This window comes from Homo sapiens, chromosome 11 (assembly GCF_000001405.40).
Source record: "Homo sapiens chromosome 11, GRCh38.p14 Primary Assembly".
Lineage (NCBI taxonomy): Eukaryota > Metazoa > Chordata > Mammalia > Primates > Hominidae > Homo > Homo sapiens.
Window position 1 is genome coordinate 133,535,183 of NC_000011.10, and position 27,013 is coordinate 133,562,195.

Here is a 27,013-nt window from a genome sequence, read left to right on the forward strand (position 1 = left end):
ACTGGTGCTCTTAACCACCAGGAGGAGAGAGAAGGAGCAGCACTGGCAGCCTAGGAGGGGACCGAGTCCCAGCGCTGCCTGTGCAGTAGCACCTGAGGACATGGAAGTGCATTCCATGCAGCCCCAACCCCACTCCAGGAAAGAGGGGCACACACTACTAGTCGGTAGCTAGTGGCCAGACAGGAGCAAACTTTCATTAAACTGTCTTGGGCCAATCACAATCCTAGGAACTTCATAAATTTTCTCTGTATTGCTAGCCCATTTCAAAGATAAATAAATAGAACAAGTTACAGAGAGTCTCGAGTCCCTCCTCTAAGACTAATAAGTGGCAAGGAAATTGAGGTCTTTCTTACTCCAGAGTTTACATTCTTTCACCTTTCCCTGTCAACTATATTTTTGTTTTAAAAACACCCATTTATTCTGCCAACATTTTTCCTAGTCCACACACATGCACACACATGAGCATACACACACACACATACCCCAAGTCTTTTAATTAAATTCACATTTAACACACTTCTATGTATAGCAGGAAAAAATTTTTAAAATTTGTATACCTAATATGATCTTCCTTAAGGAAACACATAAATATGTATTTTCACTGATCAATTCTTTTAGGTCTATTATATGATTAAAACATATGTCTCTTTTATTTAAAAAAAGTAGAGGAAGAAATGTATAAATGCATATTTAATCAATAGATGGCACCAACTCTGTAAAGAGATATTACGGTCTACTGGGTCTATTTAAACATCTTTAAAAAATACAAATACAAATAAAAATGCTTCAATGCATATTTACTAGGGGGACTGCTCTCTTCTCTGGGGTAAATAATATGCAATTTTATACCTTCTGTGAATCTTTATTTTCTTCTTCCAAAGCAAACAAAATCATCAAAACTGTATTTAAATAGCAACAATGTGGGGGAACAAACCAACCAACACCAGGCAGTTGTGCAAGGAGACTTGACTGTCACACTTGCACTTCTGACTAGGATTCTTTCTTCTGGAACAGCGGTGTTGGGCTGACATCTTCAAAGGCAGCGGCCAGCTTCCTAGGGCCAGATGGGGAATGGGAATGTTGGATCAGGGGTGAGGTCCCCCTGGGTCCAAGGTGTGCTCCTGCCTGATGCCAGTCCTGCTCCTTCACACCAGCTGTATGACCTTGGGCAAGGATACAGGGACTTCCTCTGACTCATATTGTTTCTTTGTTATACAGAGAACTGCACTGATGAAGAGATTACCTTGTGGTATTTTATGTATCCATTCATTCATGCAATAAATATTTCTTAGATACCTACTCTGGGCCAGGTACAAACCTACTACATGTGATGCAAAGAGATACAATGTAAAGCAAGACAAGACTGTCCTCACCCCTCCAAAATTCAGAGAGCAGTGGGGGAGGAGAACATTGAACCGTGAATTGATTACATTTATGACAAGTGTGTGTAGAAAATATATAGGTCTATGGCAAAGCATGAGATACAGATACACCTGGGGACGGGGAGAGTGTGAGACTGCCCTGAGGACAGGACTTCTAAGCTGGGATCCCAGTAGGAGCTTCCCAGAAGGAGGAAAAGCCCGAGATTGTTCCTGGCAGATGAAAGCAGCAAGTGCAAACCCCGGAAGCAGAGAGTAGACTGTGTGGACACTAACAGCTCTTTAGTGCAATTCACATTCACCCAACCTTTTGCTGAGACAAACTCTGCAGTAAATAGTGTTAAGATGATGGATTGGTGCACTTGGAGCCCAACAATGGAACAGGAAGGATGGATTTTTAGATACTGAAATACTTGTTAGGGTTGGGGGCTGCCTGCAAAAAATAAAAAGCGGAAGATGATAAAACATTACAGATTAAAATCTGACTCTTCCACTTAAGCTTTCAATATTCCAAAATGAACTGGAGCCTCCTGAGCTGTAAGTGATTCCCTGAGAGCAAGTTAAAGACTCTGGAAGGCACATTAACTCCTTTAAACCACAAAGGTGTCATTTAGTTCAAAGGAGCAATGATTTATTAAATGACTGGCTTATGACTAGAAGAGTAAGCCCTTCTGAAGTCCCAGGGACTCTCTTACAATGGGAGTTGTACCTTTGGACTCAGGTCTTAACCTATTTCTGATACTTCTTCGAAATTTGAATATGTTCACAAAATATCTTGGTCAAGCCCAAGAAAGCCTTAACAATAAGTATCACTTATGAAACATGCACTACGTTCCAGTTTCCCTGCAAGGTGGCTAACATGCACCGTGGCTACTCTTCACACCAATCCCTTCCACAAAGTAGACACTGCAACACACACTTCACAGAAATGTCAGCTAGGGTTTCCCCAAGGCTCTGCAGAGCATTGGCAGAGCTGAGATTCACTCAGAGCTGGCTGACTCCAAAGGCCACATGCTTTCCATCCTCCCTCAAAGGTCTCTGATACGCTTACATGAAATCATTACAAGGTTTACTACATGATGTCAGCATCATACTTAAAAAAATTTTTTAAACCTTAAAGTAATATATTACATAGTTTATCAAGTTTTTAGTGTTAACTGCTTAAGATTGAAAACAGCATTCCAAATCCCACTCCGCGGGAGCAACAACTTCCATCTCTTTTAGCTATTTCTTCCGGTATTTGCTTCCTTTCTTTTAAAATTGTGCTTATATTTTTGGGAGGCCGAGGCGGGCAGATCACAAGGTTAAGAGATTGAGACCATCCTGGCCAACATGGTGAAACCCCGTCTCTACTAAAAATACAAAAATTAGCTGGGCATGGTGGCAGGTGCCCGTAGTCCCAGCTACCCGGGGGGCTGAGGCAGGGGAATCACTTGAACGTGGGAGGCAGAGGTTACAGTGAGCTGAGATCGCACCACTGCACTCCAGCCCGGTGAAAGATTGAAAAAAAAAAAAAAGTGCTTATTCTTCCACTTCTTCATTTAACAATTTTTAAAATGATTTACTGACTACCTACCACAGGAGATGAGGATTCAACCTTGTTCCCTGCTAACCTTGCACCTCTCCTCCCTTTTTTTTTTTTTTTTTTCAGATGGAGTTTCACTCTTATCACCCAGGCTGCAGTGCAGTGGCGCAATCTTGGCTCACTGCAACCTCTGCCTCCCGAGTTCAAGAGATTCTCCTGCCTCAGCCTCTTGAGTAGCTGGGATTACAGGCACCTGCCACCACGCCTGGGTAATTTTTGTATTTTTTAGTAGAGATGGGGTTTTGCCATGTTCACCAGGCTTGTCTTGAACTCCTGACCTCAGGTGATCCGCCCGCCTCGGCCTCCCAAAGCGCTGGGATTAGAGACATGAGCCACCGTACCCGGCCCCCTTTTTAAATATAAATAATTTCACAGTGTTTAATTATATCAATATGCAGTTGTTTAATTATATCAATATGCAGTATTGACATTTTTTATTATTGTCTTTCTTATGCAACTGTTTGCTTTTCCTGGAGATAATATTTGCCTTTTTGTTTAATTTGCTTAATTTTTTATAGACCTATCATTGACTCTCCCCAAACTTTCTGCAGAACTCTAAAATTTGTCTCATTATTGTTGAATCAATTGAGTAATCTCTCAATGTCTTGTATTAAAGGCATTCCCCAGAGTCATTCATCCCCCTGAACCTCAGGTGTCATCTGGGACTTCCCTTTACCAAGAGAATACAACAGCCTGTGCTTCTCCCTTGTTTCTGGAGGCAGGTTTTCTTTCCTCTCGGTGTCTTTCCTTGTATTAATGCAACTCATCTTTGTATAGATTGCTGAGAAAGCATACTTAGGTGGTTATCTGCATACTGGAAAATGGCTTTATTCTTACCTCACTCAACATGTATAGCTAGTTAAGCTGCACATAGAATGCTGGGTTGAGAATGAGTATCCACTTCAAATTTTGAAGTCATTTCTCTATGTTCTTCTAAGTTTAAGCATTTTTGTTGAAAAGTCTGATGAATATCAATTTATGTATCTTTGTATGTGAGACAGCTTTATTTTGTCTCAGTAAATACTTAGGGTATTCTCTTTATTCATGGCTTTCCAAAATTTTGTAAAGATCTTTCTTAGGCCAGGTGTGGTGGCTCACACCTGTAATCCCAGCACTTTGGGAGGCCAAGGCGGGCGGATCACGAGGTCAGGAGATCGAGACCATCCCGGCTAAAACGGTGAAACCCAGTCTCTACTAAAAATACAAAAAAATTAGCCGGGCGTGGTGGCGGGTGCCTGTAGTCCCAGCTACTTGGGAGGCTGAGGCAGGAGAATGGCGTGAACCCGGGAGGCGGAGCTTGCAGTGAGCCGAGATGGCGCCACTGCACTCCAGCCTGGGTGACAAAGTGAGACTCCCTCTCAAAAAATAAAAAAAAAAGATCTTTCTTAATGTGGATCTGTTTCCTTTCATTGTGACAGGCACTCAATAAACTCTCTTAGTGTGAAAATGTTCATGTCCTTTAACTCTGGGAATTTTGAATTTTTTTCACATTGTGGCTTCAAAATGTTTCTCTTCTCTATTTTATTTGTTCTTATTTGTGGAGGTCCTATTAAAAGGACATTAGAGTACCTGGATTGGTTTCCATCTATTTTCTCTCTTTTTCATCAAGATGCCCTTGACTTTAATTTCTCCTAGTGAATTTTGTTAATTATACTATCAAACTATTAATTTCAAATGGTCTTCTTTGTTGTCTTTTTTTAAAAAATAGTTCCCTATTCTTGTTTCACGTTCACAATATCTTCTAACATCTCTCTGAGGATATTAATTAAGGCTTCTGAGATTTCCTTTTGCTGCCTGCAAAATCTCCATTTCCTCAGATAACGTATTTTTTTTCCCTCAGTTGTGTTGTCTTTGGCTTTTATGCGGAAAAGCTTCCTCAACTGTCTGGTGATCTTTGGTCTTCCTTTTATATTCAAGAGAAAAGCAACAAAAGACTAACTTGCATTATTGACTGGCAGATCCTTTAAAGATTATCAGGCAAGGAGCTGGCCTTGGGGCCCCTTCCCGCAAAGTGTCAGCAGTTGTAGGTCCTTTTTTTTGTCCTTAAGCCAGACAAATTTCCCCACAGAGGAGCCCTTCATTCTCTTCCCAGGGGAGTAAAATCCTGGCTTCTCTCATTCTAGAAGAAGGCTCAGTGGGTTTCACCATTCAGGATGGAGACTCTCAACCTCTTTGTTTTTAATAGAGGGCCTCAACTCTCTCCTGTGGTTGAGACTGGAGCCTCTCTTCTTCAATTCCTTCCAAAAATTAACTTTCCATTCATGCTATAGTGGGAGGATCAGGGAATTCTGGGGATGAGAAGTGTATGACACAGACTTTCAACCAATCCTTTACTTTCAGCCCTCCCCATTTGTGTCTTCCAAGGTATCCTGTACCTCTCATTCCCAGGCCTGGGTCCAACAGTCTAAGTCTATCTGTCATGTCACCCTGCAGACCCTTAAATGTCCTTTCTTCACTAAATCAGTTGCCACTGATTGTTGTTTTTTTTTTTTTTTTCTGAAGAAAACATCCATCACACCTCCAATTTTTTTTCTATTTTTTGTTTGTCCTTGGGATTTGTACCTTTTTAACCCTTTGTTATCATGTCTGTGAGATTAGCGAAGACACTGGAGATCAGCCCTCCATAACTGACTGCATACAAGTTCATGCACTTAGTAGCCATGAAGCAGGAAAGATGACAGACAGAACTGTGACCACACCTGGAATAGCAAGCTCTGCTTCCAATAGAAAGCAAAGTCCTGCACAAACAGGAGTCACTGAAATATGAGTGACTACTGCTGAAGTGTGCGTCAAACATGCACTTTCATGAAGTCATTTATTTGCTTCACCCCCGTGTGAAGGAGCACAGAAGGAACAAATTAGCCCCACTTCGCAGATAGAAAAATAAGGAGGAACTGAGATGAAAAGATCTGACCCAAATCCTAGCAAATCAAGGATTAAGCCAGGACCGGCATACATATATCCTGATACTTAGGCCTTTCCTACCAGCCAGCCCCGACAATGAATGCTCCTTTCAAACACTGTTGCTGTCACTAATCACATAAGCATTGCCTTAGCTCACACACAGCCCAAACACTGGCTAGATGTGCTGGAGACAGTGCAATAACCAAGCTCGCCTCATCACAAGCCTTCTATTTAGATATGCCTGATCCCACTTTAACTAAGTATTGAAGAAAATGGCACCAGATTTTCACCTTCGTATGCAAGTTTTCCCCCAGAACGTCTCTCAAGCAAGAACTGAAATAGCCTATGTAAGGGGGAAAAAGTCATTAGCCCTTTTCCAAAGTGAAGAGCAGGAATGCGGAAGGACGCCCACCCACAAGTAAGTGTCAGGCAGGGCCAGCACTCCCAGACTCCTGCCCGGAGCGCCACCCTCTGTCTTGTGGCTGACTTTGGTTTTCCCTTTCTCTCTCCTCCCTTTTGCTTTCCCCGCCCATTTCCTGTCCTCCTTTTCTCCCTGTGTGGAGGGGCCTCTCCCTACTCTTCTCTGAATGAAAAGGCTACTCTTCTCTCCTTGACATCTTGTTAGGCTGTGAATACACATCTATTGATTTGCATTTGGTGGAAGAAAAAGAGGGAAGGCGGGGAGGGGGTGAAGAAAAAGAAAAACACACAGTCACACATTCCCTAACTTCATGGCTTCCAGGAGGACATGTTCAAGCAAGGCGGAGAATTTTAACTGCATCTCCTTCTGCCTCCAACCCCTCCAGCCACTCCATCACACCAGCTACTGCCTAGGTTCCACCTAGCCCGGGCCCACGCTCGCTCGGAGGAGGTGGCTGGCACCGAGGGAGCCACTCAGGCTTCCTCCCTCCTGCATGTCTGTGCTCACAGATTGCTGACACTGACCCTTTGTGTGAGGCTACAGTCCAAAATAAGTTTTCTTGCAGGATAGGGGCTCAGGAGAGTCAGGAGACTTTGTTGTTAGCAAAGGCTGGCCCCAGAGACTAAGTGACAATGACTTCCATGGTTGTGCTAGCTGTTTGTGCCAATGTAAAAATAAAGCCCAAGTCATTAAGAAGCATACAACTAGGAATCATACACCTCGGTTACAACTGAGGTTCTAACGCTTTCTAGCCATGAGGTACTTAACTCCACATTCTTCTCTTCCCAGAGACCAACATTTAGTGCACAGGGAATGCACACTTTTTTTTTTAAGGATTTACACCCAAAATTAATTCCAAAGCTGCACAGAGATGCAGGACAAGCTTTTCCTTGTCCCTGGCATCTTTGGGGGCCGGGAGCTAATTCTCTATGTAGCAAAAGTGGCCAAGGAATCAAAGGGTTTATTACTTCAACTCAATATGCATCTTTCTATGGCAAAAACTAAGTCAGCATCTAATCTAGGACCATTTTAGCTTATTTTCAAGTAATATTTACTAAGCATTCAATCAGTAACCATTACTGAGCATCCATTGTGCGCAAAGAGAAGCTGAGTGTGCACAGAAGCTTGAGCCCTGCAGAAGGCAGAGATGGCCCTGATGCAGTGTTCCACGGTCCCTGGAGAAAGGAGGGAGGCAGCCAAATGACCAGCAAAAAAGCCTTTGGAAAGTAGGAATGCCCCTGCACGTGGCCATATCATCGTTGCGGTAGTGGATATGACATTCTCTAGGCACAGCCACATCTGCGTATTTCACGAAGAATGCACTATTAGCCAAAGATAGTGGTGCCATTTAAATGAAATCAGCCTGCACAGTATTTTAAATAATCCCGGTTTTGGTTCAGTCCACATGCGCACCTTTTAAAATGGAAACACTGGACCGAGCAGTAATGACAGAGAAAAAAACAAACTCCAGCTACATGTATTTGGACTGGAAATTGTGGAGAGCTCAAGATTGAAATGAATCTGATTGCCCTCCCAGACTTACCTTACACAAAACCGCAGCACTTATGTGAAGATGCCCTCCTGCAAAATTAGATTCTTCAAGCTTCACTAGGTACCTGTGTTTGACACACTTGCTTCTGTTTTCAATATTTCCTTGAAGGATGTAAGAGCCTCTGAGGCCTCCAAAGTTCAGTTAAACCAAAGACCTGCGAGTTAGGATGTTAACCTAAAGATGCCCCTGCTCAGAAGTCTATACTATTGAACTGCAATTCTCACGAGGGGAAGTGGTGAAGAAAGCCTTTTTGCTCTTTTGCTTTTTTGCTGAGGGGGGGCATGCTGGGTACTCCCTGGAATGAACAATGCTCTCCCAAATCTTTATCCTGCCTGGAACACAGATGCTGATACAAAATGAGAACTCAGAGCCTGAGGAGCAGGTTACCTGGACTTTGTTCTGGTAGAGCTTGGAGCAGGGTTTTGAATGGACTTGTGTTCCTTCTGTTACCTTTAACATAAACTACATGGGTCTCTCATTACTTCCACCACCAACAAAGATTTTGAATTTGCCCGTGGTCCTAGGAACCCTGGAGCAAGGAGGATGATTAAATCAACAAGTTTCAGTGACCCTCGGCCTCCTTTCCAGGCAACTCTCTTGTTGCCTGACATTAATATTTCCAGAGCCTACTTAACTGCATATATTTTTATCCAAAATGTGTGGCTAGAGAAAATAACTTCATTAATATGGTGGCAAAATACTAAAACAAAAGGTCAGGGGGTGACACACACACAAAATCGCCTCTGGACAGTGTCTCCGTGTCCCCAAGAAGCTACACTGAACACCTGAGACCCACTTAGGAACTCACCAACTGTGAGGACCATGCATCTCTTAGGAACTACCTGCCATGACAGCTCAGCCCTGAGACCCACTAAGACAAGAGTCCTGAAAGGTTCCAGCGTGCTCAGAGGAGAGTGTACCCATAGGTTCCACAGCACCATGGGCCTTTATTTACACAGCACCCTTTCCCCAGCACCAACCTAAAGCATTTTTTTTTTTTTTGAGATAGGGCCTCACTCTGTCACCCAGGCTGAAGTGCAGTGGTGCAATTATATCTTATAGCAGCCTCAAAACTCCTGGGTTCAAGCAATGCTCCTGCCTCAGTCTTCAAAAGCATTGGGATTACACGCGTGAGCCACCACATTCGACCCATGACAGCATTTTAAGGTGGAAATTAGCTCATGGAGCCTTTGCCAGGATCTGCAGGTGCCAAGGGTTCGGAGCTGAGGAATACAGAGCCAGAAATGGCAAACAGCGGTAGGTCCAGCCGTGCCAAAGGGCACACTTGTCACTACATCTTCCAGGCCAAGATTTTGGCCATGACATTGGAGCATCAAGAACTCATGGCTCCTGCACTCTGATCTCTGATAGCAAAGAGGAAATATTTCTTCCCTGACACTTTCATTAAGGCTTTAGTAACCTCCCCAACCACCTCCCATGGAAGGAGGCTCACAACCCACATTCACAGCTTTCAGTGTCTATCCTCTGGAACAGCATATGCCAGCAGTGGCAAACTGGCAGCCTGGGAGCTGGATTTGACCCCAGGACACGTATTCTATATCCAGCAGTATTTTTAGATAAAGTATGTTGCCAACAAGTCGTCATCCAGATTTTTAGGTTTTCTTGAAAAATCAGATGACTTAATCAAGCTGATTCTTCATTCCATCTAATAAAAATCGTCTGGAATTCTAGCTGCTCTTCTAGGCAAAGAAGCTCCTCTGTGCTACTGCAGCCCCAGGGCCCACTTCATTCATATATACAACCCACCCTCCCAGGCCTCCCCTGCACCTAGAGTGTAGTGTGTCTCTCTCTCTCTCTCTCTCTCTCTCTCTCTCTCTCTCTCTCTCTCTCTCATATTACTATAAGTTAAAACACTGAGAATCTGAGAATGCTTTTATTCTCACCCAAGAAAACATCACCAGAGACTTAGAAATTATCCAACTTCCTCCCCAAGTAGGAGAAATAGTGAAGAGATCATTTTGCAAGGGCTCAATTTTACCCATCTGGATATCTCAGTGTGTGGCACATGAAGCCTTCATTACATTTCTATAATCAGTTGGAGATAATATGGTCCTCCAGAGAGGGATGTTCATGTTCTCAGAAACCTGGAAGAGCAGGAGTAGGTGAAAAAGTCATGTGTGACCTTCACAGGCACCTACAAGTAGAGGGGCCAGAAAGTGTGGTTTTGGTTCCTCCTCCAAAGCAGGCCAGTGGGCATTAGTAATGGTGGGGGAGGGAGGAGGTCCCTAGGGAGGATCTGCATAATGACACTGAGACCATTTACCAAGACACAAATGCAAACTGAAAGAGTAATATTCTTCAGTGACATATTCAAGCAGGAGAGAAAACTGTTTTAAAAACAACCACCAAAACCTGCTTACCTCGTTTTGCATGATGCTCCCTCGCCCCCTTCTTAAGTACACACTTTGTGGAAGAGACTCACACATTTGCATGACAGTACAAAGAAAAGGCCCTTTACCCACCAGGATGGAGAGAAATGAGAGAGGGAGGGAGTGGGGGGTAGTGAAGCAGCTGGTTCCACAGAAGGAAAGGGAGCAGGACTGAGTACCGATTTTGGCTTTGGGAGAACAAGGCATTCGGAAGCAAGAAGCCATGTTGGTAAGTGAGGCCCCTCCTCCCCATAGAGGCCAGGGAACAGCCCGGAGCACAGGGGCTAATCTGTGTCAAGAGCCCTTGGTTTCCGTGGACCACAGACAGAAACATCAGCTGGTGATGACATACAGGGTATCGCCCGTTCTCTGATCTCAGAGTGAAAAGGGACCACAGCAGGCTCCTGACTCATGCAGGCCCCTCACCCCACCTTGTATGGCCTCCTTCCCCTGTGCAGCCTCTTCCCACAGTGCAGCCTCCTCCCCCTGTGCGGCCTCCTCCCCTGTGTGGCCTCCTCCTTCAGCATGGCCTCCTTCCCCTGTGCAGCCTCCTCCCCCTGTGCAGCCTCCTCCCCCTGTGCAGCCTCCTCCTTCAGCGTGGCCTCCTCCCCTGTGCAGCCTCCTTCCCCTGTGCAGCCTCCTCCCCCTGTGCAGCCTCCTCCTCCTGTGCGGCCTCCTCCCCTGTGCAGCCTCCTCCTTCAGCGTGGCCTCCTCCCGTGTGCAGCCTCCTTCCCCTGTGCAGCCTCCTCCCCCTGTGCAGCCTCCTCCCCCTGTGCAGCCTCCTCCTCCTGTGCGGCCTCCTCCCCTGTGCAGCCTCCTCCTTCAGCGTGGCCTCCTCCCCTGTGCAGCCTCCTCCCCCTGTGTGGCCTCCTCCCTGTGTGGCCTCCTCCCCCTGTGCAGCCTCCTCCTTCAGCGTGGCCTCCTCCCCCTGTGCAGCCTCCTCCTCCTGTGCGGCCTCCTCCCCTGTGCAGCCTCCTCCCCCTGTGCAGCCTCCTCCTTCAGTATGGCCTCCTCCCCCTGTGCAGCTTCCTCCCCCTGTGTGGCCTCCTCCCCCTGTGCAGCTTCCTCCTTCAGTATGGCCTCCTCCCCTTGTGTGGCTTCCTTCCCCTGTGTGGCCTTCTCCTTCAATGTGGCCTCCAGCCCCATGTGCGACCTCCTGCCCCAGTGTGGCCTCTGCCCCCAGTGCGGCCTCCTCCCCCTGTGTGGCCCCCTCCTTCAGTGTGGCCTCCTTCCCCTGTGTGGCCTCCTCGCCCTGTGTAGCCTCCTTCTTCATTGTGGCCTCCTCCCCCTGTGTAGCCTCCTCCCCCTGTACAGCCTCCTCCTTCAATATGGCCTCCTCCCCGTGTGGCCTCCTCCTTCAGTGTGGCCTCTTCCCCATGTGCGACCTCCTGCCCCAGTGCGGCCTCCTCCCCCTGTGTGGCCTCCTCCCCCTGTGCAGCCTCCTCCTTTAGCACAACCTCCTCCCCCTGTGTGGCCTCTGCCCCCAGTGTGGCCTCCTCCCCCTATGTGGCCTCCTGCCCCTGTGCGGCCTCCTCCTTCAGTGTGGCCTCCTACTTCAGTGTGGCCTCCTCCCCCTGTGCAGCCTCCTGCCCCAGTGTGGCCTTCTCCCCCTGTGCAGCCTCGTCCCTCTGTGCAGCCTCCTCCCCCTTGTGCAGCCTCCTCACCTTGTGCGGCCTCCTTCCCTTGTGCAGGCTCCTTACCTTGTGCCACTTTTCTGGAAAAAAGTGTCACAACCTGTGCTATCACCGCCCACTGGGGACACTAGTAAACAGGAAACCTGTGTTGGCTTGAGGATCGTCACTTTTGTTTCTTGCATCTGTGGCCAGGGCCTTCTCAGCACTGCTGTTCTTCACTGCAGCCTCAGTCTCCAGGAGGAATTCAGTAAATATGTATGGAATGAACGTAGAGATGCGTGAATGAATGAATGAACATCAAGGGTCCCTACAAAATCACTTTTGTGGTGTAGGCCACAAGCCATACTCCAACAGGCAGAATTCAGAGAGTGAAGAGACTTTGAGATCAGATAGGCCTGAGTCAGAATCCTGCTGTGTAACCTTAGACAGCTGCCCTCCCCTCTCTGAGTCCCTATTTCCTTACCTGATGAATTAAGATAAGAATGTTCATCCCACAGTGCTGCCATGAGGAGTAAGTGAGAGAAAGTCTGTAAAGCACTCAGCACAGCGCTTAGGAGCTCAATAAAGGGCCACTGTTGTCATTACTGGTCCAGCAACAACCTGACGTATTGATTTCTAGCAAGTCTTATTCTCAAGCGGATCCCGAAGATTCCCACATGGAAGTTTCCTGGATCGCATGCCAGGTGGAAAGGTCTCTACACCCCCACACTGACCTCCAGCTGACTGCTTCTCAGGGTGTCACTTGAGGAAACTCTTCGTCAAACTCTTTCTGCAGCCTGCCCTACCCATACGAAGTTTCCTTCCAGAGTGTGGGCTTGCATGCAACCACACGGAGGGCTCTTCCAACTCCCTGGCCCTGCCGTTAGACTCCTTCCTCCTTGATGTCTTGATTTGCCTTGTCCGCCCGCTCCTGCCTGCATCCCTGCACACCCATGCTCTCTACTCCCTGCGGCATGCCCCAGGGCACTTTATTCTTGGCTCTGGTTCTTGGTCTGGTTTTTCTCAGCCCTCTTCCAGTCTTTAAAAAATCAGAAATATGGAAACTTACATTTGACACAGTCACAAATAACTTTTGTCTCAGTCAAGTGACGAAGACACCCAACATATATGCAATAGGGGGTTAGGCCATTTCACAGATAACTAAGATTTTGATTTCTTCTCTTTCCAGCTCTCAGATAAACAGTCCAGCAATGGATGCTTCCGAGGCAGCAGAGCCTCATGGCAAGCATCCAAACAGACCTGGGTTTGGGATCTGGCTCTGACACTCAGTCCCTCCAGGCAGCACGCCTCGGTGTCTGCTATCTTCAGTCTCCTCATCGATACAATGGGGATAAAGAAAGTAACTACCTCCTCATGCCAGTGTGAGAAAGGATGGCAACATGTGTTAAGAAGCACTGAGAACAGTGTCTGGCATGCAAAAGTATTCAGTTGATGTTAGGCATCACCGTCATCATAAGAGGAGCCAATGGCATTTATTGAGAATATTCTGGTTAGACTCTATACTAGACACTTGAGATACAAGACGGTAACACCAGACAAGGCCTCTGGACCCTGAATTTAAAGTCCACAGGGAAGTAGAGACTTTTGTTAAATAATCATGCACATAGACAGGAATTATCACCGTGACGATTACCCGAAATGGAGGGGCACTGTATTAAGAGAGGAGAAGCGGGAGGCTGAACCTGGTTTAACAGGCCAGGGAAGCCTTCCCTCAGGAGGAGAGATTTCATCTGAGATCTCAGGGATGAATGAAAGTAATTCAGGTTAGGGGGATGCACGTGCGGGAAATGACCAGGGCCCATTTAAGGAACTGAAAGAAGGCCCAGGTGGCCAGGGCTGGTGAGGGTGGAGGAGCAGAGGAAGGCCAAATCCTAGGGAGACCACAGGCTCTGCTGAGCAGCGTTGTCTCCATCCTGACACTGAGGGAGAACTAGTGATGATTTATAAGTTTGGGGAAGGAAGTGTGCATGAGCATTCTGGGTGCAATGTGTAGAATGAATTGGAAAGGAGCAGACATGGATGGGGCGGGGACAGTCGGAAGTGCACTGCATCAGTCCAGGCATGAACAAGAGCAGCTTTGTCTAAAGCACTAGATGATGGCAATGGGCACGGACACCCACTACCGGACTGTAGAGTTTTAGGAAACACAAGCCACAGAATTTGGTGGTGATGGGAACAGGGGCAGCAGAATTTCCAAATCTGACCCCTCGATTCCTGGTTCTGTTTCTGCACAGATGCACGGACATAGTGTCAATGAATGAGAAAGGACACAGTGAACTCAGACCTGGCTGAAGAGTGCAGTCATGGGTTCTGCTGGGGAAGCAGCATCACAACACATCACAACAGCTCATTGCTCTAGAGTCAGACTGCCTGGCCTCCAATCCTGTATCCATTCCCGACAGTCGGTGTGACCTGAAACTCTCCAAGCTTAATTTCCTTAACAATTCCCACCCCCCAACCTCAGAGTTGACATGAAGATCTGAGACCATGGACACGAAGCCATGAGCATAGTGCCTGGCACACAGTAATAACTCAACACAGGCCAAGACTTTGTAAGCTGCGTGGCATAAGCAGCAATTGAAGGAGTCGTCACTCCCTCTCTCCAAGTTTCTTCAGGTTCAGGTAATAGAGACTTTTGCCTTCTCAGGAAAAATATTAAGAAGCTGCTGTCTGTCCTTTGCTTCCCACTGCTCTTCCCCCACAGGAATAAGATTGATTTCTCTAATTAGAGAGATGACAAAGGTCTGACATGTCTGAGTCCTTGTTTCTCCACTAGGCAGGGTTAATGTATTACCAGGCTCTGCTCACACACATTTATTCGTTTTGTGTCTCCCGCCCTGCTCCCTCCATCTGGCCCTCTCTCCCTCTTTCTCGCTGCCTTTCTCCCCTTAAAAGGGCTATCTGGAGTTCATGTGTGTCCTCCTTTCTGTTCCTTCCTCCTCTGGGTGATAAGCCACTGGCAGGCCCTGGCTCTGCAGAGGGAGGCCTACAGCTACAGTTGACAAATTATTTTGCCTGTGGCCAAATGAATGAGATCAACTGGGAGAAAGGAGGCTGTTAAATGAGAAGCTCATTTTGGACTTGAATCAAGACTGCATTCTCCAGTTCAGCCTTACTAGTAATAAGATTGATAGTTTGATGCCTGTTTGACTTGGTGTTTCTCAGCTCTTTCAGAAGCCGGTGGGGAGAGAGAAATGATGAATTGTACTCTTTAAGCTCTACAGTAATTGATGCCAGCCACAATGTCAAAAAATGAGATGATCTTGGGAAACATATACAGGAATAAGGAAACCTAGAACTGAGTCTTATCTTTTCAATGGCTTGACTAAAAAATACTTGCCAGGAATGAGCAGAGAGAAAAGTGGGAGCAGATTAAGAGAGGGTCATGTTACAAAATCCAGGAGAAGAGAGGGCCTTCATGAGGAGGGAGTGATGGACAATGCAGCAACTGGCTACGATGAGTGTTAACTTTCTTCTGTTACCTGATTGTCAGGGAGGGCATTAATGGCCTTAGAAAAAACTCCTTTGTAGCAGTAAGGGAGTAGAAGCTAACCTCCTGTGGGTTGGAAGATGAGTAGAAGGTGAAGAAAGGAGAGAGGACAAACACATAGACAACTTTCCAAGAATACCGGCTATGAAGAGACAGAGAAAGACTGGGGGGCCACTTACCACTCCAGACCCCAACCCAGATCTGTCTCAAGCAGACCCCACACCTCCATTTCACAGCTGGACTGGAAAAGCCGAGCTCTATGAATGTAACCCTCCAACACTCTCTGTTAATCATCGGTTCATAGGAGCGATGCTCATGGGCGTTTTTTTTTCTTTCTGAACTGTGTTGAAACACAATCTCTTACATAAATGGACATCCCAATTCAATTGATTCATTTGACCACGAGGTTCATCCCAATGAACCCTCTACCAGAAAATATGAATTGGGCTGTTGTATCTTCCTGGCAAGAATCATCCATTTATTTTCAGGGATATTATAGTGCCTCGTATATTTCCTGTTACAGTAGGTGTCACAAGGTATAGTAACTATTTCTGCACCTCTCCATAACCATCCCCAGCTGGTAAACTTGTCCTTGTCTCACACAGTAGGAACTCAATAGTGATTGTAAAATAGCTGAGAAACGGGCAGCATCCTTCCCCGGCTTGTGGTGAAATGTTGACAAAATTGGATTTCTGTGTTGGACACAGTTCAGAAGATACTAAGGAGACATGATGACTAAATGCAATATGGTATCCTGGATGGGATCCTGGAATGAAAGAACATTCGTGGGAAAACTAGTGAATGCCCTCAGCACACCCAGCCTAAGGCACGAAACCCTATTTCCTTGTACCCCAGGTTCTTGTTTTTTAGAGAAAGTTGAAAGATATGTAAACCTTTCCTCCGAAGCAGCTCAGCATGAGGACATGGGAAGATGAAAGGATATCCTGGACATTCTTGTGTATCCTCATCAACAAATTAACCTTCCTAGAAAAAAAAAATTAAGAAAAAGGAGTCATCCTTAGTCTTTCGGTCTAGTTTTCCTTCACATGGGTTTGTTTAAATGTAGGAGGAGTTCTGCCTGCAGAATGGATAAGGAACTTGGTAATAACTTATTTCACTTAGTTCCATCTTTAGTATTTTGTCCTCATGGTTGAAGACTTCTTTGGAGAGCATATTTGACAATCATATGACAGTGAAGATTGAATGAAATACCTCTAGATTTGTCTTTTTCTTATAAAGCAATATGGATCTCCCATACCCTTATGCAAATGAAAGTTGCCCAGGAAACTATCTGTATCTACAAAAGAAGAGATGATAGTGACGTCTGCAGCAAGGAGCACACAAGTCAACCAGAGAAGAAGTCAGGATCAGGATACATCTTTAGGTGCTGTTAAAAAGTCGTAAAATGATCTGTGAAATTCTGAGTCTGAATGTGGGATTATATTCAAAAGCGAGTTGAAATAGCTTGCCCTAGCAAAACAATGACAACAATGGCAACAGCAACAACGTTTACTACTTGCTAACCACTTACTATGTGCTGGGCACTGTGCAAAGCACAGCGTGTTCCATCATTCCATCCTCACAACCCTGTTGGATGGTCCTACTCTTATCCTCATTTCACAGGCAAAGACGTACAGGATTAAAAACGTTGAGCAACTTTCCCAAGGCCATTACTGCACTAGGAATAGACATAGCCAGGATTCTCCTGGGTCCGGGGCCCATGCTCTTAGCCACTTCCTCATAGCACATCTGCATCGGTAAGCCTGGGCACATATCATGCAAGTTCTGGAGTGTCCACTGTCACAAGGGCAAGAGGCAAAGAGTGTGTTCTGTATAAGGGTCACAAGTCTTCTCTGTGCACATCGTGGAAGAGGTACCATAAGTTCTGTCTTTCTGCAGCTGCCCCTGGCTGTCCAGAGCTCCCTGGGATGCCTCATCCTCAGAAATTTCCCTGCGAAGAATCCTTTTACCCACCTGTACCTTGACTAACTCCCATAGATTCTGAACCATTCTGGTTTAACATATATTTACTGGACCAGGCCACGCCACCCCAAATCCTTTTTTTGGAAAAAGCTATACATGGAGAATAAATTATCTAATAATGTATCTCAGGCAACATGGTGAGTAGTGGGGATGTGAAGATGATAAGACCTGCTCTTTGATAGCAAATTGATACACTAATTAACATTAATAGCTTAATTGGTAATAACGGCTTAAGGCATTACTGCATCTACTTAAGATGCTATCGTTTTCATGAGACCTCTCAATGCTCAAGCTCAAACGAATAACCCACAGTGTGAATTTCAGCACCCTCAGCAAGTTGGGAGTGGAGTGGACAGCAGGCCAAGAAAAGGGCCACTTCCCAATTCCACAGTCTTAAAAGCATGAAGGAGGGAAGGAGTCAGGGGAGCCTCCTCAGCTCCTCAGACTTTCCTTGTCCGTGGTCTTTCTGTGTAAGAATTCAGAGGGTGCTGAGCGCCACAGCCAGTCCTAGGCTTGTGATAAACCACATACACCTGGAACAGCTCACTCAGAAACATGAGTACATGAGGACTCCGATCCGGCAGTGCTCCACACATTAACATGCATACAAACCCCCAAGGGATCTGGCCAAAATGCGGATCCTGGCTCTGTGGATCTTAGGCAAGGCCTGAGCATCTGCATCCCCAGGGAGCTTCCAGCTGATACTGATGCCGCTGGTTCTGGGAACCACACTCTGAGAAGCAAGGCTCTGGAATGCCTTCCACCATGCCATCATTTCCCAGTGGCCACCCAGGTCTTACTTGGATACCTCCATTGATGGGGAACTTACTGCCCTTTAGGATGGCTTTTTCTTCAGTGCTGTTTCTTCCGTGAAGCTGAAATTTGTTATCCTCAATCACTGAATGTTGTTCTGCCCAAAGATCAATGATTTTCTCACATTTAGATTCCCAATTATCTGTGATAGGCAGGAGCTATGGAAATAAATTCCCTTCAAAGGGTAAATGCAGATACCTACTGATTATTTCAGCCCAGGTGGGGCTGATTCTGCCGCCTTCGACACAGTAAAAGCTGAGTTACAGAGCACTTCACATACCAGGCAGCAGAGCCGGGAACCAGCATCCATGGCCCATTATGACTGTATTGTTCATGAACAATTTAGGGATCTGCAAACTTACTGCTAAACATTATGGTTTCTTCAGTGAGATAAGAAGGGCAATTAGGATGAAAAAAGAAACAAATGCAACTGCTTGGGGAATGTGGATTGTGTATAAGTGTGTATATGAACCCAGATCGATCTGAGCAATGAGCCATTTGGTTTGGTCTGAGGAGATCTGAGCAGCAGAGACCGTGTGGCTGTCTCTTAGTATAACCTTGCTTCTAGACAAGGCTTGAGGGTGTCCTAATTTCACACTTGAACTCCAGTGTCCCAAGGACCTTTTGAGAACTGGTGACATCTCAGACTGTTTCGGCTTTGGATGAAGGTGGAGAACAAGCAATGGGTCAAAACAAAGCAGGCACCATCTGCCAATTCTCCATGTTGCACAGCCCATGCCTGTGTGGGAGCAGCCGGTGTCACGGCTACTGCTGAAGATAAAGAGAAGAACATGTATCTGGAGGTTTGAAATTTTAACAACAGCTTCTTGGTTGTTAATGAATAATAGACACCTGGGAGGGGTCAATGCCACCCACAAAACTGGGGCCTAATATCTGATAGGCTGTCAACGTCCAAGCCATAGCTTGAGTTTCCAAGTCAAACTTCCTTTTCCCCAGATAAAGGAAACACTGGGAAGGAAACAATGGTTAGATTAGCAAGGCCGGCCTCGAGGCTACCGGGAACGAATAGCGCTAGCGCGATAACTCCGCTTTCCTTGGAAAGAAAAGCTTGGAGAGGACAGAGAAGGGGAACCACCCCGCCCCCTCCTCCCAGCACACACTCTCGTCACCACCCTGCACGAAATGGGAACATTTTCAGGCCCCAGTTATGATTTAAATGAAGCACACCGCACCAATATTGTGTGGTGCCATCTGTTATTTTATATTTCACGAAATTTGGCCAGTTTTGAAATATTATAATTATATCTCCTACATTACGTATGCAACGCAGACATTTTCTGAAACATAAATACAGTGTGTGGGAAATGTGACTGTATTTATAGCCCTTGGCTGGTGGGCACCATCAACGGCCTGGCGAGGGCAGCCTGCCAGCACTGCAGGGCCCGGGGGGAAGCACGCCTCCCCCACCCCACCCCATCCTCCAGGGAGCTCCAGCACTCAGAGTGGCCCATGCCCTTTCATCTTCTAAGGAAGGTAACATCAACTGTACTTTAAAATTTTCAAGATCCAGTGTGTCCCCTCCCTCAGACTGCAGCAGCCAGGCACAGGCATATTCAGTGATGGCCAGAGTCAGGGAATGGGCACAGAAGGCGCACGGCCCTGAAGGCAGCTCCCCCACCCCACATGCTCCTTGCAGCAGCGTTACTCAGGAGAGAGAATGGGGCAGGAGGTGGCAGGGTCCTCAGAGTCAAAGCACAGGGAGGTTGGAGAGAGCTGCTGTAGGAGGAGATCTCTGTCCAGGGACAGCCATGCCTCTTAGCCTTAGGCCTTCACTTGCTTCTGCAAAGGAGAATTTAGAGCGTTGTAGCTCATTTTGGCTTAGGTGTCAGGAGGTACAGAAAAAAACGGTCAGACCTAGTCCAAGTCTCCAGTGGGCGTGCTCTGGGATTTCTATATTCAAAGAAAAATCAGTGTTGTTTATTTGAGTGTTTTTTTTTCCCCGAATACTGCCAAGTGCTATGCAATAGCAAAGAGAAGAAAGCAAATGACAAGTATTTGAGTTTCCCTTTCTGTCTCCAAAACAAAGGCATTCTTCAGTGATGAGAGAGCTATTTGATAACCGTGGACGTTTCTGCCACAGTCTTCACGTGCATCTTTAGGAGTTCACACAAACCTTTCTCTCAGAACACTAACTGCTGTTGCTCTGGACAGTCCAGCCAGAGAAGAGCATCGTTGGCACTGCAACTTTTTTTTTAATTATTCGAGTTAGTTGCTAACATTTAAAACTCAAAGATTTCACATAAAACCCAGTTTCTCTTGAAAAACCATGAGAGCTGGCATCATTGGATGTGTATTTCTGCCCAGCAACAATCTGCCTGCTCTGGGAAGCAGCTGCCCCCTTTGGAAGAAAGCGCTCCTCAGTTTCCCCTTTCTCCAGCCTCCTCTGCAGCCCTGCACGCACTCATGTCACCTGACTGGCACTTGTGTTTATGACTTCCTAAAGTAGGTAATTGACTCTTATGAAGAAATATAGACTAGAAAATTAAGGTAACTGTTTTTTTCTTGAGGTAGGGTTGGTGAAGCATTAAAATATGTCCATAAGCCATCTAACAGGAAATTAAAGTGAAATTTACAAGCCTCTCTGTTTTTTTTTCCTTAGAAAAAACTAAAATGAAAAGATAAATCTCCACCACAGCTCTTATTTTAGTGTATTTTAGTTATCTGTTTATTTACCATTCTTCACCAACAGACTGTGAGCAATTTTAGAGCAGCAGCCAATTTAATTTTCCTTTGCACACCAGTGCCTACAAGAGTGTTTGACACATTGTAGACCAAATCTAGGGAAGAAAGGAAAGAAGGGTTAACAAAGCCAAAGTTACTCAGTCTGGCTTTGAGCTGGAATGAATCTCAATGAGTTTTTATCCTCAGTCAGAGAGCCTAGTTCAGAATTCTCCCAATTCTGTAAGGTCCCAAATACAATGGGATACACATCTAGACCAACTCCTAAATGAGACAAGCCTCTCTCTCTCTCTCCACCAGTGAGCTGTGCCCACCCCTAATGGTAGCTGAGGAAGGCATGAGAACACTAAGCCCTGGGCCTCTGGTGAGAGGCAGACACATAGCTCAGGGGCGGTTGCTTCTCCAGCATGAGCATGACGGTTAAACACCAGCAAATCACTGTCCATGATGATCCAACTGTGTCTTCAGTGACAGGAAACAGAGCTTGGAATGAAATATCTCTGACTCCAAGAAGACAGAGAACCATTTGTGAGTAATTTGGTGGGATACTGGATGCTGCTGCTTTCAGGGTGAAGGAACCCCAGAGAGGCCATAAGAAAAGGAAGATCCTTGGGAAGTCTCTGGGCTCCCATGAAACTCCCATTAGAATCCAACAAGCAGTAAGAGAGCACACTGAAAGCCAAAAATTCCTTGAGTCTTATACCCTACCCACCTCAGATACAGCCATGGGAGGAAAACTTGTCAAATTAAATATAATCTATAAAAAAAATCCTGTTACTGAGTATACTGATATATTTTAGCGCTACACAAACTCTGCATCAAGAAAAAAATTACCTCCAGTCTCTTAGATATTTTCCTACTGGAGTTTTCAACAAATGGTATAAGTTTGGTGATCCTCGTGTCCTAACACTGTACGCAGGCACATGTGATGCTAACATCAGAGAGAAAGCAAACACACACACACTCTCTCTCCATCTCCCTTAAAGTTTCCACTCAGTCCTCAGTACCTCTCATCTGGATTTCTGTAGTCTGCAGGCTGACGAGGATTCCTGACTCCAATCTTTCCCCTCTTCAAAGATATTTCCATCCTGCCTCTAGATTGGACCTTTTCAAAACCTCAATCATCACTCTTCCACTTGAAACTATTTCCTGTTTCCCAGGGCCTGACATTCCTATGGATCCACCAAAATATTTATGCCTAGTATGTGCCAGGCATCAAGGGTAAAAGCTCAAATTCTTTAGCCTGGCACATAAAGCCTTCTGTTGTCTGCCCCTTGTCTACCTCCTCAGCAGTATCTCTCAATTCTCCCCTGCTTTGCTTTCTACACTCCTGCCCAAACCAGACTACTTGGGCATTCCATGGTCACCGTTGCCTCTGAGTCTCCACACATGCTGTCCCTGTAGCTAGAATGGGCTTAACCTCTTTGTCTACCTCTTCCTACTTATCAGTCAAGGCCTCTTATTCTTAGGCCTCTTGACTATTGCCCTTTGGGCTCGTATGTGGCAAATGATGTCAACTCATCTCGAACTTTTTCTGCACCTAAAGCCAAGTCAATACCTAACTCTGGCCTCCCGGTGAGCTTGCCTACCATAAGAAGAGCAACTCCATCACAGGCTTAGAGTGATCAATGAACAAGAGGACAGACTCATTTTTTAAGACAGCCTTCTATTTTTCATAAACCATTGAGCTGACCCAATCAAAGAAACTGTCACGCCTATCACTTCCCATCCCCCACCAATCACCCCAACGTCCAAACACCAAACTCTGACCTCCTCACTCAGCTGAACTAAGAAATGCTTCCTGGTCTTAGCTCGATTGTTCCCTGACACTCTAAAGTAGCAGGCACCCCAACCTTATTACTGTTCAGTCACTCATCCTGTTTTGCTTTCCTCCACAGTGTTTATGAGTTCCAGACATAATATATATATAATATATTTGTCTATGGTCTGCCTTCCCCACTAAGATAAAAGTAAATACTTTGTCTTATTTACTGTGCAGCTGCAGTGTCTAGAACTGGGCTTGGCACATAGTAGATGCTCAATGAATATCTGTTGAATGAATGAATATAAGCACAAGGAGAGGCACTGACAATTTGATGAAGCCACTATGAACAGGAACTGTCTCTGCTGACATGTGTAGTATTCTTGCTATAATAAGAATCCTTTTCTGTAAGAATAATAAATCTACTGTCATTTAACTGATTTAAATGACAGGTGGTTAGGATGGTTATTTATGCTTTCAGCACAAACTTCTTAGGAAGGAGAAAACCACAGAGTCTACAGAGAAGAGATTCAGTCAAAAGCTAAGACCTAAGTCAGTCCACAAACCTCATTTTAGGGAGCCTCTCATGATACCCCTCCTGGAAGATCCCCTCTCTTTGTGGAAACACCTCTAGAAATCACATGGTAAGTTCACTGTGCTTTCTCTCACCTTCCCTCCCAATGGCCGAAAGTTGCTTGAGGGAGTGTGGCTCTCTTCTCCATACTGTCAGCCAGCACCTTGCACAGGTATCTGATGCATAGTAAGTGCACGGGAGTGAAATAGCATCAAGTGTGAGCCCAGGATGGCACAATAGAAAGAACACCAGACTCAGAAGACTTGCATTTATGTCTTCTATGTCATTTTTTTTTTTTGAGATGTAGTCTCGCTCTGTTGCCTAGGCTGGAGTGCAGTGGCACGATCTTGGCTTACTGCAACCTCTGTCTCCTAGGTTCAAGCAATTATCCTACCTCAGCCTCCCAAGTAGCTGGGATTACAGGCACCAACAACCATGCCCAGCCAATTTTTGCATTTTTAGTAGAGACAGAATTTCGCCATGCTGGCCAGGCTGGTCTCGAACCCCTGACCTCAGGTGATCCAATGCCTCGGCCTCCCAAAGTTCTGGGATTAGAGGCATGAGCCACCGTGCCTGGCCAGAACTTCGGTTCTTAAAAGAGTGAAACAAAACATAGAGACAGTTGAGATCAGTCATGGAGGGAGCAATTCAATGAAGACTCTAGGGAATCAGTCTCAAGTGCCCAGGGCTGGCAACCCTGCAGAGCTCTATGGTGGGCACAGGCCATAGTGCTGCTGGTGGTGGGACCTACTGTGGTCTCAGCTTCCTCATCCCCCTTTGTCCGTGCCTTGTGCTTCAGCCTTCCTGTTGATTCTGTGTGCTGCCGGATATCCTTACCATAAACCCCTATATTGCTTAGACTAGTGAGAGTTGATTTCTATTGCTTGGAACCAAGAACTCTGACCAGTACATTCAACTTGTCTGGATCTCAATTTACCCTAGTGACACACAGGGACAACAACTCTCACTTCGTGATTTGATGTGAGAGTTAAATGATGTGTTCACAGAAGGCCCTACAACAATGGGAAACACATAGTAAACATTCAGTAAGTATGAATGTCCTTCCCACATCCTTAAAAATGCTCTGAAACCAACCAACGAGAGGAAATGGGTTACAGCAGTTGCATCGATGCAGGTTTTCCCAGAGGGGTTTTGCTTGAATGTTTGCGAGAAGTAAAACAATGTTTACCAATCTGCCGGCAGTACAGGCTTAATTAGTGTTTGCAAACTGCTTGACATTCTTGAAAGAAAGGTGCCACCCAAGCACAGGCCATTATCATAATCAACTGGTGGCACACATGCCTGAAACGAGAAATGCAAAACTACCAAGGATGGGAATGGACTGCATGGAGGCCCAGGCGACAGTAATGTCTCTTTTGTAAAAAAAAAAAAAAAAAAAAAAAAAAAAAAAAAGCCATATTGACATATCATTCACTTACCATATGATACACTTTATTAAAGGGTACAATTCAAGGGTGTATAGTGTGTTCACAGGTAAGTAGGTAAGTGCAAGCACTGCTGTCAACTTTAGAACATTTTCGTCACCACAAAGAGAAACCCTATACCTTTTAGCTATAACCTCTGTACTTCCCAATCTCCCCATCCCTAAGCAACCACTAATCTACTTTCCATCTCAATACATTAGGCATAGTTTTAAATAGTTCATATGGAATCATAATGGAATCATGTAATATGGTCTGTTGTGATTGGCTTCTTTCCCTTAGTTGATGTTTTTGAGGTTCATCCGTGTTTCAGTATGTATCAGTATATCATATCTTTCTGTGGCCAAATAGTATCCCACCCCATACCATGCACTGTATGAATACACCACACTGTGTGTATCCGTCCATCCGTTGTTGGACATTTGGATGATCTCCACCTCTTTGCTATTTGCATGGCTTTGCTCCTGCCATGAACGTTCATATACAAGTTTTTGTTTCAACACATGTTTTTAATTCTTTTGGGTGCATACGTAGGCGTGGAATTGCTGGGTCTTATGGTACGTTTAACTTTTTAAGGAACCACCAGACTGTTTTCTGCAGCAGCGGCGCCAGGTTACAGTCCCACCAGACTAATGTCTTTTTGATCTCATAAAGATGTTGGCACTTCCTGATATTTATAAATATTCATGCTAGAACCCTTTAAGACATTTTTTTCATTATTCAGAAAATTGTACACAGTTTCTGCCTTCACACGTCTGCCCACTATGTCCTTTGCTGCCAAAGCGTATCCAGCTTCTCTCCAGTCAGACGTGCACCACACCTCTGTTGCTGTGTTGGATTTCAAAATTCAGCAGTCCTACCCCCTTCCACTCTAAGCCGTGCTGCAGACTTTATGACTAACTAGCTACGTAGCCATCTCTAAGTCAGCCAGCGTTACACCCCGTCTCACACTCTTCTCATATATTTAGTTTCATTGCTCTGAGAGTAAATGAAGAAATAATAATCACGTGTTTTCTCTTATTTGGTCCTAACTAGTTCGTATGTGTACAAACCCCTGATCTGAAGCTTAACTTTTTAACATGTATGATGGAAAAAAAATCATAATTTTGCACATTCACCACTTGAAAAGATAGTATGCTTAATCATAAACAAATAATTACAGGAATGTTTCATCTGACCATGGAGTGTTTTTAAATGTATCGAACTTGCAATCTTTCACAGGGCAGGATGCCCCAGGTCCCCCTAAAGCCTTCCAGCTTCCCACTTTCTTTCACCCAGCCTAATTCACACATTTATATTTCCTGCCTGAATTCTGTGGGCTTTTGAATTTGCATTCCCCTGTATAAGGGATCCCTGAGAAAGGGTTTTAGTTTCTTTTATCTTTTTCTTTCTTTTTTTTTTTTTTTTTTTTTTGAGGCAGAGTCTCACTCTGTAGCCCAGGCTGGAGTACAATGGTGCAATCTCAACTCACTGAAACCTCCACCTCCCGAGTTCAAGCGATTCTCATGCCTCAGCCTCCCGAGTAGCTGGGATGACAGACATGCACCTGGCCAATTTTTGTATTTTTAGTAGAGATGGGGTTTCACCATGTCGGCCAGGCTGGTCTCAAACTCCCAACCTCAGGTGATCTGCCCACCTCGGCCTCCCAAAGTGTGGGGATTACAGGCATGAGCCACCACTCCCTGCCTGGGTTTCAGTTCTTATGAGAACATAATATATCCAAGCCTCACCATACTTGAAGCACATTTTACATGTTAATTACAAATTCTCTGTTAGGGAAATGGTGAGTGAATTGGCAACGCCACATGGCATCCAGTCGGACATACATTTAAGGCTTTAGTTTCATGTCCACTAGCTGCGTGATCTCAGGAAGTTACTTAACAGCTTTGGCTATGAGTTTCCTCATCTGTAATACTGGGATAATAATAGTGACCCCACTGGGTTCTTATGATGATGAACTGAAATAGAGATCAGTAAAAACTATTACTATTTTTAGTACCTTTCTTTCTCTAAGGATCTTTATTTGCTGGGACACAGCCATGTATGTTTGAATGCAATGTGTTTTCATTTGGGAAAAATTTGAAGTAACAGCACTGAATCCTTGCTAAACAATAAAATACTCCTCCTCTCGTGTCATGACACTTCGCCTCTCCATGTGTCTGTTTCTCTTCCATTGTAATACCTGACATATATTCACATTGCACCGAATGTCAGTGGTCGGCTGACTGGAATGGTGGTGAGAGGAAAGAGAAGCTAGAGGTGCCAGTGGTATCCTTGACATGCCCAGCAGCGGCCCCTCCTGTGTCAACCCAGGCACTGGGACGGGCCCTGAGTGCTCCTGCCAATTGCATCCGTTGAGATGAAAATTATTATTTATTTCAGGG

The 27,013-nt window shown here is 45.5% G+C and overlaps 5 annotated features.

The window, feature by feature from the left end:
- Positions 5,988-6,559: an enhancer, noted in NCBI's record as "NANOG-H3K27ac-H3K4me1 hESC enhancer chr11:133411065-133411636 (GRCh37/hg19 assembly coordinates)". NCBI's record gives its function as "activates a minimal SCP1, AML or CMV promoter by ChIP-STARR-seq in naive H9 embryonic stem cells {active_cell/tissue: H9 hESC(naive)}" and the evidence as "EXISTENCE:reporter gene assay evidence [ECO:0000049][PMID:30033119]".
- Positions 6,232-6,526: an enhancer, noted in NCBI's record as "tiled region #715; K562 Activating non-DNase unmatched - State 13:Ctcf, and HepG2 Activating non-DNase unmatched - State 22:ReprW". NCBI's record gives its function as "activates a minimal TATA promoter and a strong SV40 promoter by Sharpr-MPRA in K562 cells, with weaker activity in HepG2 cells {active_cell/tissue: K562 | HepG2}" and the evidence as "EXISTENCE:reporter gene assay evidence [ECO:0000049][PMID:27701403]".
- Positions 10,437-11,355: an enhancer, noted in NCBI's record as "H3K27ac-H3K4me1 hESC enhancer chr11:133415514-133416432 (GRCh37/hg19 assembly coordinates)". NCBI's record gives its function as "activates a minimal SCP1, AML or CMV promoter by ChIP-STARR-seq in naive H9 embryonic stem cells {active_cell/tissue: H9 hESC(naive)}" and the evidence as "EXISTENCE:reporter gene assay evidence [ECO:0000049][PMID:30033119]".
- Positions 19,088-19,679: an enhancer, noted in NCBI's record as "H3K27ac-H3K4me1 hESC enhancer chr11:133424165-133424756 (GRCh37/hg19 assembly coordinates)". NCBI's record gives its function as "activates a minimal SCP1, AML or CMV promoter by ChIP-STARR-seq in naive H9 embryonic stem cells {active_cell/tissue: H9 hESC(naive)}" and the evidence as "EXISTENCE:reporter gene assay evidence [ECO:0000049][PMID:30033119]".
- Positions 19,680-20,270: an enhancer, noted in NCBI's record as "H3K27ac-H3K4me1 hESC enhancer chr11:133424757-133425347 (GRCh37/hg19 assembly coordinates)". NCBI's record gives its function as "activates a minimal SCP1, AML or CMV promoter by ChIP-STARR-seq in naive H9 embryonic stem cells {active_cell/tissue: H9 hESC(naive)}" and the evidence as "EXISTENCE:reporter gene assay evidence [ECO:0000049][PMID:30033119]".